The sequence below is a fragment of the Homo sapiens genome, chromosome 2 (genome assembly GCF_000001405.40).
Source record: "Homo sapiens chromosome 2, GRCh38.p14 Primary Assembly".
Classification (NCBI taxonomy): Eukaryota; Metazoa; Chordata; class Mammalia; order Primates; family Hominidae; genus Homo; species Homo sapiens.
This window is the reverse complement of record NC_000002.12, coordinates 152,708,424-152,722,309: the sequence shown is the minus strand read 5'-3', so window position 1 is coordinate 152,722,309 and position 13,886 is coordinate 152,708,424. Positions and strand designations below refer to the sequence as shown.

The following is a 13,886-nucleotide window of genomic DNA, read 5'->3' as shown; positions in this document are numbered from 1 at the left end:
CTGACTCTTGACAATAAATTCATGCCATTAGCAAAATCTTAATGATTTTCCTATTTGCTGTAAAAATATTAAGTATCTATCATGCATACCTAAAAGCAACATGGGATTATTTAACCCTAAGTGGAAAAGGAAGCAGGACCATGTCAAAAGACCTATCACATTCCTTTTGATATTGAGCAAGCCATTCCTTCAGATAACAACTGCCCGTCATTCTACTCCTAAATGAGAAATCAGGACAACTTTTAAACAGCAAAAGGTTTAGAATTCATGCCTAATTCATAAGATTCTGTTTCCACTGCATCAAGAGGTGACAGATCAATAAAAGCTCTGAGAAGCCTAATAATCTTGGCTTATTTCTAGAGATAAAACAATGTAAAAACATACACTGATAAAATGAGTAACTAAAAAGTATGTTTTCTCATGCAAGATGTTGACAAGAACAGACAAAAGTTTCCATGCAATATCTAAGAAACCAACTTCTTTGCAATTTGAAGATAAAGGGTTCATGTTTCCCCTTCTGCTGAAATAAGGTACACTATACTTAGTGTCACCATAAGGGTGATTAGCCATAAAGTGGTAGATTAGAGAGTTTAGGAAAGAATGGGAGAGGGGAGGACATGTGTCATAGTGTCTCAACCACCTATCTACAGTGATCAAATCAAATGATTTAATTTAAAGTGATCACATCAAATGACTTGATTCATGTGATCGAATGTAGAGTGATTAAGTTTGATCTCCCCTCCCCAATTTAGAGTGATCAAAGCAAATAGGAGTAAAATATGCTGGACAGGTAAAGTTTTCAACTCTTCAGAATCATTTTGGTGGAGAGAAATATAGAATAACCTTTTTCACTGGAAACCTGTGAACTACAGCATTCTACAGACACTGCAGAAACTGAGGTCTGACTCTCCTAGTCATTTACCTGTGCAAGGATGGTCAATGCTTTAAAAAAAAAAAAAGCTGCACATAAAGATATTTGAACTTAAATTCCTCCTGAAGCCTACATAAGACATTATTTACCTTTGCTAGGATAGTGAGGAAGTTCTTTTGTTTTTAAATTCCTGAGAAGAGCTGTGGGAAGCCTCTTCCAGAAGGTAATTAGAAAATGTTAAATATTTCTCTGGACCTGAGTCACATGCAGTTGTGTTTAAAATGTATTACTAGTGTGTGTGGTACATACACATACCAGTACCCATTAAAAAAATTATTATTGTTTCAGACAGGGTCTCACTCTGTCGCCCAGGCTGGAGTGCAGTGTAACTATCACGGTTCACTGCAGCCTTGAACTTCCCAGCTTAAGTGATCCTCCCACATCAGCCTCCCAAGTAGCTGGGACTACAAACATGAGTGAAACCATGCCTGGCTAATTCTGTTTATTTTTTGTAGAGACAGGGTCTCACTATGTTGCCCAGACTGGTCTGGAACTCCTGGGCTCAAGTGATTCTACTGCCTCAGCTTCCCAAAGTGTTGGGATTACAGATGTGAGCCACTGCACCTGGCCCCATTAAAAAATTATAGCAAACATACCATATATGCATACACATACTCCACACATATAAAGGAAATCTAATAACATTTATCACCAACATATGCAAATTAAAAACAAGACTGAATGACTGCACATAGAAATACATTAAGTATTTTATCCCAGAGTTAGTTCAAACATGATCTAGAAACACAAACGTGAGCTCAAAACCAAAGCAAGCGGCAATTAAGTCCATACCTAATAGTCCAGTGTCTACATCATCTTCATTTTTCAAATTCTCAGCATGCAACTCTGCAAATACAAAGAGGGACTTAGGTAGGAAAGCAATACTATAATTTGAAAAGTAACTCAAGGGCTGTGAAGGCATTGTGGAGCTGTGGAAAGTGCTCTGGAGTCACAAAGAACTGGGTTCAAATTCTGATTCAATTTACCAGCTATGTGACCTTCAGCAAGCAAATTAATGTGTTGACCACTAAGGGAGCCAACAGCTATATACCGTACATAGGATGAGAGTACTGTTTATTCCCTAAGGTAGTGGTAAACACTAAAGGGCATACTAGGTGGAGTTCAGTTCCTTTCTCTATTCTTCCAAATAAGCACAGTTCAATGTCTTCTGCAATGGAATTCCACTTATCATGGTTTTGTGACTTTATGATACAAAGGCAATGTCTCCGAGCAAAACAGAAATAAACCACCTAGGAGACAAAACTATCAGAATTGCAAAAAAGGGCAAAAAAGTGGGGAGGGGAATGATAAATGAAACATTGGCAGCCAATCATTTAAGACTGACAGCTTGCATTTTATGCACATTCAGTTTACCATTTTATGAAGAGGTAAAACCCACATCAACTGGCCAAAGTGTCTTCTGTATGAAAATCAAGCATTGTAAGGTTTTAGATGCCATGCCATCTGTAGCCCACTAAACGCTGGGAAGCAATGAGGACAAATAAAAACTGGAGTTAAATAGATTTAATTATATTTAATGAAGTACAAAAATAACACTTCAGTGACAATGTTTTGGGTGCTTTTCATACAACAAAGTTCTTTTGTTTTTTTTTTTTTTTTTTTTTTTTCAGTAACTTGGCAAAGGTCACAAACTAGTGAGAATGGAAATTTAAACTTAACTCTGCTTCTTTCCACTATAATATACACTAGCCAACTAAATTATACAACCGTATGCCTTGCAATAAACTTCAACCGGCCAATATTTCAACTTCAGACAGAAAAACAAAATTATTAGAGGACGAGTGGACTATACTTTCTGCAACAGAACTCCGTGCACTACACCTGGATACAAACTTAAAAACTGAGAGGCTAATTATTTTACCTATAAAAGAAGAAATTTGGACTATGCGATGAAAATCTTTGTCCCTCAAGATTCTGTGTAGAGGAATTGGTGGACAGCACATCTTTATTTGTGGATGAAGGCCATTGAACATGGCCTATTTTAATTATATGCACTTTTCACTGTCTCCTTTTAATGGTGGGTGTTTCGCATTTTGTTTAATCTTCACAATATTTCATCCCCAGTGTTCAAGGACTTGAAGATATTTCTTCAAGAGTACCCATTTAATCAAACGATCCTTTTTAAAAATACGTCTCCTGATCATGGATCAGGACGCTCCACTTAGAAAAGGCAAAGGGCGGGAGAGCAAAGTAAGATGCAAATGAGGACTCTGGGTGAAAGCAGCTGCCAGCCTGAGGGCTTAGCGCGAGGGAAAGGGAGATGGGTGGAGACGAGAGCCACACCCTGGCTCAACTTTACTCTGGACAGACTTTCAAGGCGTCGGCTTCAATACCTTTAACGATCAAGTAGGCGATGGCGAGGAGGAAGGCGAGAAGAATGGCGAAGAGCAGCGAGCAGAGAATAGAGAGGACCTGGACCGGCCACCGCCGAGGCTGGGCTCTGCTGCCCGCGGCCGCGGGAAAGATACCATTGCGCTTATCGGGCAGAACGGGCGACCCGTTCCCGTCCGGCGGGAGCACCGAGCGCTTTCTGGGCTCTGACCACGCCCCAGCCGAGAACTCCGCCCGCAGGTCGCGGGCCACTTGGTCGCATCCCTCCTCCTCGTCGACTTCGCCTTCACCCCAGCTGTCCCCCTGAGTAAAGGAGGAATACGATGGCCGAGCCACAGGGCCCGGGGTGCCGGGACCGCGGCGCCGCAGAGCCGACCGCCACCCGCTCTCAGCAAACGACATGGCGCGAAACACAACGAAACCCGCGGAGAACGAGCCTCTCCCACCTGCCCCGCCCCGGGTCCGCAACAGCCAATCCGCGGCAGTGGCCGCTACCACCAGGCCTCAGAGCCCAGGGGTAAACCACGGAGAGCAAGGGTGGGCGGCGGGTTGCAAAGGAAGCCGCAGGGCCAAAGGAGAGGCGGAATGCGCTTCGACCAGAGCTCGACCCCAGGGCTGTAGCCGGAAAGGGGAGCAGGAAAGCGCGCAGGGAGAAGCGAGCGGAGGCCGAAGGCTGTCGAGTATCCACTCCCTGCGGGGCTTCGTCCCGGCCGGAGACCTCCGCCACCCCCGCGTCACCAACGGGAGCGCGCGCCCCGACAGCCCCAAAGCCTCATCTTTTCGACGCCGGGTCCTAGCGCCCGCTCGCGCCCTCGGAGACACATTCCCGAACCTATTTGTCTTCTCCCTTCTTCCCCACTACGCTCACACTCTTCTCCAGGTTCCCCCATTAAGGGCACCTCTCTACCTGGCGCTCTCGCGGTTCCTTAACTGCTCACCCCCATCTCCCTTTAGTGTGGTTCTCCCCACCCGTACTACAACTTCCCTCCCGCTACTCGACACGCCTCCTTCCCCAGGCGCGCGCTCTCCACCTGGTGCGTACGGAGATCGAACCCTCTCCTCCGAACCCCTCCTTTCGCCTTCCCCGCCTCCTCCCCTCCGCCTCGAGCACCGCGCGCGCGCATTCGGTCCCAGCCACCGCTAACACTACAGGCTGCTTACCCCCGCCCCCTCCACCCTACCCCTGGCGGCCTCAGGTTTGTGGGGCGTACGTAACTCGGGCGGGGAGGGTGAAGGTGGCAGACCCCCACTGCCCCACCCCCTACGGGGTGAGGCGGTCTAAGCTCGGGAAGCTGGGACACTGTTGTCTTCCCTTCCCCTGGGGAAGTTGGTAGAGTTTTCCCGACGGAGGACTCGGCGCAGAAACTTCCTCCGTCCTCCTCCTCCCCCCCCCCCATGCAGGCGACGCCGAGTGAGGCTGAGGCTGGGGGCGAATCGCCGCAGAGCTGCGTGTCGGCGGCGCATTCTGATTGGACAGCGGGGAAGCCCGTCAGCCTGTTGGCCCCGCTGATCCCGCCCCGTAGCGCAGGGCAGCCTTTAACCTTTAGCCCCAGTGGGCGCCAGCCACTCAGATCGCTTCTTGTTGGTATGTGTAGCGGCAGTGGCCGCCGGCGGAGCAGTCTGAGCCCGACGATGAGGCCGGGGACGGGAGCTGAGCGTGGAGGCCTCATGGTGAGTGAAATGGAGAGCCATCCTCCCTCGCAGGGTCCTGGGGACGGGGAGCGGAGATTGTCCGGCTCAAGCCTCTGCTCCGGCTCTTGGGTCTCTGCTGACGGCTTCCTGAGGAGACGGCCCTCGGTAAGGGATCAGTGGGGCAGGGGGAAGGCGGCACAATGAAAAACGGAGTGAGAAACAGGAAGCTTTCTCCGAAAGGAGAAGAAGATAAGAGTGGACGAAGGAAGAACTCGAGATGGTGGGATATGTTCTGAGGGAGAGAAGTGGAGGGTGGAAATGCACAAAGAGAAGGATGTGAGACCCTGGAAGTTCCCCGTGGGCTTGGCCTAGACAGATGCGTGGTGAAGGTGCTGGCTCTTGGGCGGGGTGAGCGTCTTGGAGCTTTAGGCCCGATTTTAGCTGGGAGGGGGAGGCAGGGGCTTGATACTGTAAGACTTTAACAGCGGCTGCCAAAATTTGTTTTCATTAGTCGTCGGGGTGGTCTGCAGGGGGAACTGTTGGGACAATTGGCAGGAGATAATTAGGTGGTTTTAATTTAAAACATAGAACAATGGACTCATCGGTAAAGAAAGTAGTTGTCTTTTTAAACTGCGTTAAAAAGGATGAATTAGTTGTTTGCATTTAGTGTCCGTGAGTGACAGAACCTCAGTCTTTGAAAATGTATTTTTGGCAGAAGGAATTTTACCTGTCTTAAAGGTTATGTTAGGAAATAAGTTTGTTAGGAGTGAATTGTGCCTGGGTAGCCATACTGTTTGTGTTTTGTAAGACCGACTCTCACCTGAGTTAATTGGATAGAGCATTTTAAAGTTTAAAATCAGTAGTGTTATAAAATAACAATAGCTGGCTATCTTTTATATCTGCATGAAATAGGAGAGTTGTTGTTTTCACCATAACAGTTTTAAAATTAGTATTCAATGTGTATCCTCCAAGCTTAGCAAGCCAATTAGTAGCTGGTTAAGTCAGTGCTTAAAAAAAAGAGAGAGAAAACCTATGATCCAGCGGTCCAGGATTCATCTTAACTTTTCCCATTTTTTTACGGAATTTGCAAGCTCGTTTTAAATACTAGCAGAATGCGTTTTGTTTGAAACAAGGTATAGACTAATCCAATGATGTTATTACACATAAGCTTAATATTATGTCGCTTCAGATAACTGATCTGTTGAAATGAGATTTTTGAGAAGCATTTAGTATTATTTGCTCATTTAAAAATGTTCACTGTTTTTCAGATGGGGCACCCTGGCATGCATTATGCCCCAATGGGAATGCACCCTATGGGTCAGAGAGCGAATATGCCTCCTGTACCTCATGGAATGATGCCGCAGATGATGCCCCCTATGGGAGGGCCACCAATGGGACAAGTAAGACTGTTTTTGTTTTATTTTGCATTTATTTATTTGTTTTTGCCTCAGGTATTCTATCAAGATTTCAGAATCTAGGTCAGTAGTTATAGCTGTTTAATGATTAGTTTATGCCCGAATAATTTCAAATAAGCCAAATGTTAAATCATGACTGTAACGGAAATTTGAATAATGGAAAAGTCTTCTGAGAAATTTAAATAATGAAAAAGTCTTCTGAGAAATTTACTGATGACCTCAAAACTAAGAATTTTTTTCTTTATTATTTAAAAGTAAAGTGTGGATCCAGGCTTTTATTTTTAATGATTATTTTTTCAAGAATGCCAATTGAAGTTGATGGTCTAAGTAAATATTATCTGATACAGCAACATAACTGATTTTGGTAGACCATGTAAATAAATAGAATCTGAAAATAGCTATTGTTTTGGTTTAGAGCGAATTTTATTCCTGAAATATCTTCCTCTTTGTGTGTTGGAGGAGGGTGAGGGAGGGTGGGGAGTTTGTGCTCTATAATTCTGATTCTTCATAGGACAGTGCCAATAGGTAGTTCATTTTCCACTTATACTATTTTTTTTTAATGCTTGTTGCTTCTACACTCCTGCTTATGAGCTGTCCCTTCCATCTCTAGCATAAATTGTAAATGGACATTTTGTAGGAGTGATTTGGATCAAAAGGTTTTAATGCTGATTCAGTGATTTCGGTAGAACTGAGTTTCTAGAGAAGCATCCAAGAAAGGTAACAGGTTCAGTTACCATGAGTAATTTTGTGCTTCATGTTAAGTTCTATAATAGATCTTTAGGTGGCTGGGTTATTTCCATTTGAGTATTTCCATAAATCATCAAAAATTTAGGCTAACAAAATATTTTGGAAGCCAATTTCATGTGATCTTTTGCTAATTAGTACTGTTTGATAATTGTTTAAGCTTTCATGGTTAAAGTTATTGGTGAAATTGCAGTGGGAAAAGGAGCTTGCTATGTGTCTGTCTCTTTTTACTTAACCTTAAGAGTAGAAGGGCTTAATGTCCAGTGATTTTCCTCTTTTTTTTTTTAATTTGGAATATTGCCCTTAATTTTGTTAAAAAACAAAACAAAACCTTTATTCAAAGGCACCAGCCCCAAAAGATTCTGCTTGCAGGAGTTCTTTAAATAAAAGAGCCTTTTATTCTGTTACTCTAGAATAACACAAATTTTAAAACTCTCTAGGTGATGGAGAAACAACTTTGATTCCTCTTCTGTTTCTTTCCATCTCTAAGGAGCAAGGAGCTCTTCTTGTTTTCTTGGTAGAGCTGCTCTAACTAGATAATGAGCTTTAAAAATATTTATTCTTTAAATGCTCTGGTTCTTATTTAAAATTAGTTTCTTTCCACAGAAAGATAAAATAAAACAATTTGCTACTGCCAGATGCTTCTCTCTTTTCTGGGGCCTTCTGTTTCCATTGGGCCAATCAAGGTAAGTTTTGCAAGGGATTGACCTGCTTACCCTTGCTGTAATGGTGCTATTGCACTACCAAAACCAAGATACCAGCTAGTCATAGTTCTAGTTAAAAAAAAAAATGCAGATTTTATTTTTTAAAAGTACTTTCATGTATCTCATTGACATAAGCTGGTCACAGTTTGCTTTATGGCCCTTTCTCTTTAGCTGTATCAGTGACCATCTTTCTAGTAAGTTTACTTGCTACTCGGTACACATCCATTCAAATAACTGATTTTTTTGGTGTGGTTTTCTTCTACTTTTTCCTAGGCTAATATATGCCACGTGCCTTTAAGTAGACCTAATTATTTAGATGTTTAGAATTCTTCTCCCTCTGAAGGCTCCTGTTAGTATAATAAATAAATGTTTTAGTAGGAGTTATGCCCTGAAAGTCCCAAAAGAATCTCCGCTGTTTTTGTCAGAATTATATAATTCCCTTTTATCCCCTTAATATTTCACTAACAAATATGGGTCCCAAATCTTGGTAAAACAAATTCTTGTTTTAGCTTTATAACAGACTGGGAGAGCATGGATAATTTGAATTCTCAAATCAGAAATCATATTTGAAACTCTGTAAACATTGCTTTAAAAATTAAAGGTGATAATAAATAGGACAATTGATCCTTTTTCCTGCATTATTTCTTCTGCCACTCTTGGAAGTACTCAGGAGGAATAAGTGGTCAGAAGATAATTGAGAAGAAGCAGGATGTCTGTCTGTATCATTCACAGTAGTGACAGTTGGGAGGGTTCTGCCATGCAATTTAAAAAAGTCAGTTCACAAATTCTTTAGACTTTGGGACTGAAGGTTATAAAAACCTTCATGTGTTGACTGGTTTGCATGAACATCTCATGCTGGGACTAGCTAAAGACTAAAATTGGTGGCAGTCTTACTTGCCAAATAATTGTGGTCTTTGGAATGTTACCAATATGACATGAAACTGTAAAACTTGTTTGTAAAATAATATGCAGACTGGGTAGCATAATGATGTACGGAAGCCAGGGTTCATAATTTCTCAAATGCATCAAGCTATTTAGCTTAAAGAAGTGGTGTGTTCAAATTTTTTTTTTCTTAATTCATGAGATGACCTAGAGTGCCATCTCATGCATTTAGGCTGACTCTTAGTAGTAATAAATATTTGATGATTATCAAATTGAGCTTAATATTCTTTCAGGTTTATTTCAGTTTTCTATCTTGTAGATTAAATTTGCCTCTTATTCTATATAACTTTATAGGAAAGTCATACTTTTAGAGTTATAGGATCTTATAGCTGAAAGGGACCTTACAGGTTGTTTAAGCTTTAAATAATATGTGATTTAAGATGCTTTGAGGATCACTGGTTAAATGTTAGTAAAGAAAGATAAAGAATTTTCCCTGCTGGATGGCAGTACTCAAAAATTTCCCATTGGGAGGCTGAGGCGGGTGCATCGCTTGAGCTCAGGAGTTGGAGACCAGCCTGGGCAACATGGTGAAACCCCATCTCTACAAAAACTATTTAAAAATAAGCTGGGTGTGGTGGTGTGCGTCTGTCGTCCCAGCTACTTAGGGGGCTGAGGCAGAAGGATTGCTTGAACCTGGGAGGTCGAGGCTGCAGTGAGTCAAGATCACGCCTTGCACTCCATCCTGGGTGACAAAGTGAGACCCTATCTCAAAAAAATAAAGATTTTCTGTAGAGATTTCTATCAATAAAATTATGTGTGAGGCTGTCTTCTTCCTCAGTGTCCATAGTAAATACTGTTTTCATGTCTTTTGTGTTTTCTACACAAAGGACATGCAGGTCCTGCCATCTTTATCACAGATGATTATGCCTTTGCCCCAGAGTCATGCTAGCTGGCTCTTTTTTTTTCCTCCCTATTTGAGTCTTTATTTTCCTCTATCAGTGAGAAGAGTAGAGTAATTGAGTTAAGGTCCCTTTCAGCTCTAACATCCTATGATTCAGTTCAGATCATTTGATAAGAGTAGATATCAGATTTTATGGGATGATATGGAAAGAACAGAAAATTCCTTTAGTAATGCCTCCCTAATTCTATTTATTCAGTGCTTTTTTTTTTTGGTCTTTGGTCAGTAAACTGATAAATGAATAATTGCTTTTTACAAATGAGTTTGATTTTCTTGCTCCTATATTGAGTAAGGCTGGCTCTAATAGATCTTATTTTATTTCAGTTCCTGCTACCACATGAGCCCAAGTCGTCACTCTCCCATGCCTAGGTTATTCAACAGTTTTTGAGTTGAGTTGGTTTTCTTGCTTCAAGGATGCCCCCCTGCCCCCACAAATTTTAGATTTCAATGTGTTATCTCCTTGCCCAAGAATCTCCAGTACTTTCAGTGCCTATAACATAGTATCTAAATTCCACAGCTTAACTTTAAAGAACCTCCCCATAGTACATGTCAAAGCAGGATTCAAGGCTGCATGTCTTTACACTCCCTAATTTGAACTTAGGCTGGTCTTTTCACGGTGTCTTGAGTGATTATATTAGTTCACAACTTCAAACTTAGGCTGTTCTTCTTACCCTCCTGCCCCCAGCTCAGTATCACCATGAAGTTTGCTTTGCTTACCTATGTTGTACTATTTCAAGTCCTGCCTTCTCCAAAAGTTTCTCAAAAATGACTTTTGCCAACATATACCTCCCCTTCAGATTATTAAAGAAAATATTTGTAATCTACCCATAACTCTTACCGTTTCACTTATTTTGGCACCTAGTTATTGACTTGTTTTATGGTTTCTTAATTTGCTTTAATTTTCCAACAAGTAATAGATTGTAAGCTCTTAGAGGGCAGGGGCTATGTTCTGTACTTTTTAAGAAGCCTATAGGTGCTGAGCACAGTTCTTGGCACATCATGGGTGCTCAGTAAAATACTTGTTGAATGAATGAAACAAATACACAGGTATTCTTTCCTGCAGTATAAGCCCATAAGTCAGTCAGTGTTAAATGTGACTGTTTCCAGTGGTTACTTGTGACTTTACGTTGTTACTACTTATTCTTGTTTTTAGTGTCTGCCTCTTTACTCTTACTTTTTCATTTGACAAAAATGGAAGATAAATAAGATGAAATAAATAATTTTTGTTTGGAGAATAAAACTAAAATATTTCCATTTGCAGTCGACCCTCTGTATCCAGAGATTCAAGCAACTGCGATGGAAAATAGTCTTTAAAAAAGCAACAACAAAAAAATACAAATTTTTAAAAATAAAGTATAATAACTTTTATAGCATTTACATTGTGTAAGGTATTATAAGTAATGTAGAGGTAATGTAGAGGAAAAAATAACAAAGTAGGATATAGGCCTTGCAGAGAAATTTAGTGTATTGGTACCTTAGACTTACCTGACTGATTTGACAAATTTATTTGTTGCTGTTCCTTCTGAATTACCCTTCCTTTTGAGTAGCTACAGGATCCATGCCATTGAATTGGGCATTAGCCAGTGACAAAAAAGAGATAGAATTTTTGTTTTTTAGGTCATCTGCTCATAATTCTTGAATCTGGGTAACTTCTGGGTACATGTGGATGACTCAAGCAAGTACTTTTAAAAAATATCTTAACTCAGACCTAATGTCTGTAAATTCTTGACTCAATGTGGTTAGATTTTTGACAAATGTTAATAGTGAGACTACAAATACGTTTATTTTCATTATCTTTAGATAGCAGTTCATTTAAATATGAGCTCATCTATTCACAAACTTAGTGTGGAAAGATCTAAGGAGGACCACATCAGTTGAGAAGAATGACCGGCATCCCCTGCTCCCCTTTTGAAATTCACAAGGCATAATATTTACTAAAGTGATGAGAAGTCTTGCAGAAGCCTTTTACAATTTTTACTTAGTATTTCTGTCTTATTTGACCATCTCCCCCATAAATCTCCCACATAAAGCATTTGTTTTGCTTTGTGTAGCACATTGTATGAAATTAGCATTTTGTGAGAAATGCTGAATTAGGGCCCTTTATTCTTTTAGTTTGCTCTTTAGGAGAAAAAGGCAACATCAAAATAAGTTAGTGTTAACACACATATGCATAAACGAAACAGCTTGTGTAGTGCAATGAATGTATTCATTAGATAGTGGATCAAAAGAGGAAACAAGTCAATAGATTAACCTTTGATTTTTAAATTAGGCTTGTTGAATATCATGATAAGACTAATAGTAGTATTAATAGATAGTAAAGATTTGAGGCTAGGCACGGTGGCTCATGCCTGTAATCTCAGCACTTTGGGAGCCCGAGGTGGATGGATCACTTCAGGTCAGAAGTTTGAGACCAGCCTAACCAACATGGTGAAACCCCATCTCTACTAAAAATACAAAAATTAGCGGGACATGGTGGCGCACACCTGTCATCTCAGCTACTTGGGAGGCTGAGGCAGGAGAATTGCTTGAACCTGGGAGGTGGAGGTCTCAGTGAGCTGAGATCGCGCTATTGCACTCCAGCCTAGGCAACAATAGCAAAACTGTCTCAAAAAAAAAAAAAAAGATTTGGTACATATGCTACACCATAGCAGTGTACTAGGGATTTTGGGGTTTGTTTGTTTGTTTGTTTTGAGACAGAGTGTCTGTCACCCAGGCTGGAGTGCAATGGTGCAATCTCCACTTACTGCAACCTCATCCTCCCAGGTTCTCCAAGTAGCTGGAATCACAGGTGCGTGCCACATGCCTAGGTAATTTTTGTATTTTTAGTAGAGTCAGGGTATCGCCATGTTGGCCAGGCTGGTCTCGAACTCCAAGGCGCAAGTGATTCTCCTGCCTTGGCCTCCTAAAGTGCTGGGATCACAGGCATGAGCCGCCTTGCCCAACCTGTTTTTAACCTAGAGAAATAGGTCCATGTTGTGAAGGTTTATAAGTAGGAATTAATAGATGACATTCCAAGTAGAAATTATCAGTCTCATTCTTATTTTTTTCCTTACCTTTATTTTTCTTTTATTCAGTACACATTTAAGTATCTTGGGTGTGGTACCTAGTGTACAGGTGATGTATGCCCTGCTCTCAAGGAGGTCATTCCTGAGATGCCATTTTGAACTCATTTTTGTCTTCTAACTGCTGATTTGGTTGTTATGGTATTTCCGTACATTTGGAAATCTAGTGGCTATGAATATTTTATACAGGTTGAGTATCTGTAATCTGGAAACCAGAAATGCTCCAAAATCTAAAACTTTGAGTGCCAACATGACACTCGAAATAAATGCTCATTGGAATGTTTCAGATTTTTGAATTAGGGATGCTCAACCAGTAGGTAAAAAGGCAAATATCTGCAAATCTGAAAAAATCCCAGTCTGGTGTCAAGCATTCTGTATAAAGGCCTCTCAACCTGTATTTGCCTTCTTTCGCTGTCTGGTCAAGTACTTGTACATTATGTATCACTTATTTTAAGCAAGTTAGTTGTACTTAGCAGTTATTAGAGATGTGATTGTTGGAAGTGAATGTTCAGTGTTGCAAAGTGAAAATAGCACTCAGGCAAAAGTTTTCTCAGCAAGGCAGTTTACTTCTGTAGAAGGGTGTGTCTTGCAGATGGAGCAATCGTGAGATGGACAAGGGAGGGGAAGAGGTTCTTATTCTTAACACAGCTGGTCCCCACTGTTGTGTCTTTCCCCTACTGGCTAGGGTTGGACCGCACAATCTAAAGTGACCCAGTTGACTAATGTTTGAAATTGAACCCAGCTGTCTAGGCTGGAAGGGAAAGGCTATCCATTATGACACAATGCATGTCTAGGAGAAGGAAGAGTTTATCTGAATAAGGTGGAGGAGAGCTGAGGAAGGTTTTGGTGAGAGCTGTTTTTATAAGTCTTTGCACTAAACTATGAGTACAGGGTATGATACAGCATCCTGTAAGAATGAGCACACCTATAATGGCTGTAAGAGAAGGATTGAGGCTATGATTCCTTTTCATTTACTGAACTACCTCTCTAGCCATGTTGAGAAAGGGTTATCGACTCCAGAATTTTTAGTTAGTTCATTGGATAAAGCGGTAAGTCTTTGTAAGACGCTTATTATGTTCCCAGTGGGGTCAGTGTTGTTTGGGATAAAGGTACAACAGTGAATTTTAATCATAACACAAACATCCCCTATTTTGGCTAATATATCTAGGGCCATTCTGTTTTCTCAGGCCATCTGGCTAGTGGGCC

The 13,886-nt window shown here is 41.2% G+C and overlaps 2 protein-coding genes across 43 annotated transcripts in view, besides 9 other annotated features; one reads left to right on the top strand and one right to left on the bottom strand.

Annotated features, from left to right (window-relative positions):
* The window catches only part of ARL6IP6 (ARF like GTPase 6 interacting protein 6), a 44,749-nt gene extending 40,087 nt beyond the window's left edge, over positions 1-4,662 (bottom strand). For 4 of the 15 annotated variants that reach the window (NR_146430.2, NR_146431.2, NM_152522.7 and 1 more), the window contains exons 1-2: positions 3,286-3,690; positions 1,724-1,777 (exon numbers count right to left, since the gene is read on the bottom strand). Coding sequence is in view for 3 of the 15 variants with exons in the window: in NM_152522.7 (NP_689735.1) it covers positions 1,724-1,777; positions 3,286-3,685 (454 nt within the window). In the remaining 12 variants the exon portion in view is untranslated. Of the gene's footprint in view, positions 1-1,723; positions 1,778-2,305; positions 2,413-2,813; positions 3,691-3,729; positions 3,987-4,190; positions 4,225-4,314; positions 4,418-4,499 lie in introns of those variants that run through there. The other 11 variants (NR_146428.2, XR_007069661.1, NR_024526.3 and 8 more) reach the window with 7 other exon arrangements.
* Positions 3,180-3,379: an enhancer, noted in NCBI's record as "active region_16656". NCBI's record gives its function as "activates an Ori minimal core promoter by ATAC-STARR-seq in GM12878 lymphoblastoid cells {active_cell/tissue: GM12878}" and the evidence as "EXISTENCE:reporter gene assay evidence [ECO:0000049][PMID:35858748]".
* Positions 3,430-3,479: an enhancer, noted in NCBI's record as "active region_16655". NCBI's record gives its function as "activates an Ori minimal core promoter by ATAC-STARR-seq in GM12878 lymphoblastoid cells {active_cell/tissue: GM12878}" and the evidence as "EXISTENCE:reporter gene assay evidence [ECO:0000049][PMID:35858748]".
* Positions 3,520-3,719: an enhancer, noted in NCBI's record as "active region_16654". NCBI's record gives its function as "activates an Ori minimal core promoter by ATAC-STARR-seq in GM12878 lymphoblastoid cells {active_cell/tissue: GM12878}" and the evidence as "EXISTENCE:reporter gene assay evidence [ECO:0000049][PMID:35858748]".
* Positions 3,520-4,301: a biological region, named in NCBI's record as "NANOG-H3K27ac-H3K4me1 hESC enhancer GRCh37_chr2:153574523-153575228".
* Positions 3,596-4,301: an enhancer, noted in NCBI's record as "NANOG-H3K27ac-H3K4me1 hESC enhancer chr2:153574523-153575228 (GRCh37/hg19 assembly coordinates)". NCBI's record gives its function as "activates a minimal SCP1, AML or CMV promoter by ChIP-STARR-seq in naive and primed H9 embryonic stem cells {active_cell/tissue: H9 hESC(naive and primed)}" and the evidence as "EXISTENCE:reporter gene assay evidence [ECO:0000049][PMID:30033119]".
* Positions 3,950-4,039: an enhancer, noted in NCBI's record as "active region_16653". NCBI's record gives its function as "activates an Ori minimal core promoter by ATAC-STARR-seq in GM12878 lymphoblastoid cells {active_cell/tissue: GM12878}" and the evidence as "EXISTENCE:reporter gene assay evidence [ECO:0000049][PMID:35858748]".
* Positions 4,060-4,129: an enhancer, noted in NCBI's record as "active region_16652". NCBI's record gives its function as "activates an Ori minimal core promoter by ATAC-STARR-seq in GM12878 lymphoblastoid cells {active_cell/tissue: GM12878}" and the evidence as "EXISTENCE:reporter gene assay evidence [ECO:0000049][PMID:35858748]".
* The window catches only part of PRPF40A (pre-mRNA processing factor 40A), a 66,288-nt gene continuing 56,692 nt past the window's right edge, over positions 4,291-13,886 (top strand). For 6 of the 28 annotated variants that reach the window (NM_001365599.4, NM_001365598.4, NM_001365597.4 and 3 more), the window contains exons 1-2: positions 4,849-5,080; positions 6,184-6,315. In NM_001365599.4, coding sequence (NP_001352528.1) covers positions 4,871-5,080; positions 6,184-6,315 — 342 coding nt within the window. In that variant the 5' untranslated portion in view covers positions 4,849-4,870. Of the gene's footprint in view, positions 5,081-6,183; positions 6,316-7,680; positions 7,761-9,942; positions 10,007-13,886 lie in introns of all 28 variants that reach the window. The other 22 variants (NM_001354431.4, NM_001395476.1, NM_017892.5 and 19 more) reach the window with 9 other exon arrangements.
* Positions 4,350-4,449: a silencer, noted in NCBI's record as "silent region_12013". NCBI's record gives its function as "represses an Ori minimal core promoter by ATAC-STARR-seq in GM12878 lymphoblastoid cells {active_cell/tissue: GM12878}" and the evidence as "EXISTENCE:reporter gene assay evidence [ECO:0000049][PMID:35858748]".
* Positions 4,850-5,149: an enhancer, noted in NCBI's record as "active region_16651". NCBI's record gives its function as "activates an Ori minimal core promoter by ATAC-STARR-seq in GM12878 lymphoblastoid cells {active_cell/tissue: GM12878}" and the evidence as "EXISTENCE:reporter gene assay evidence [ECO:0000049][PMID:35858748]".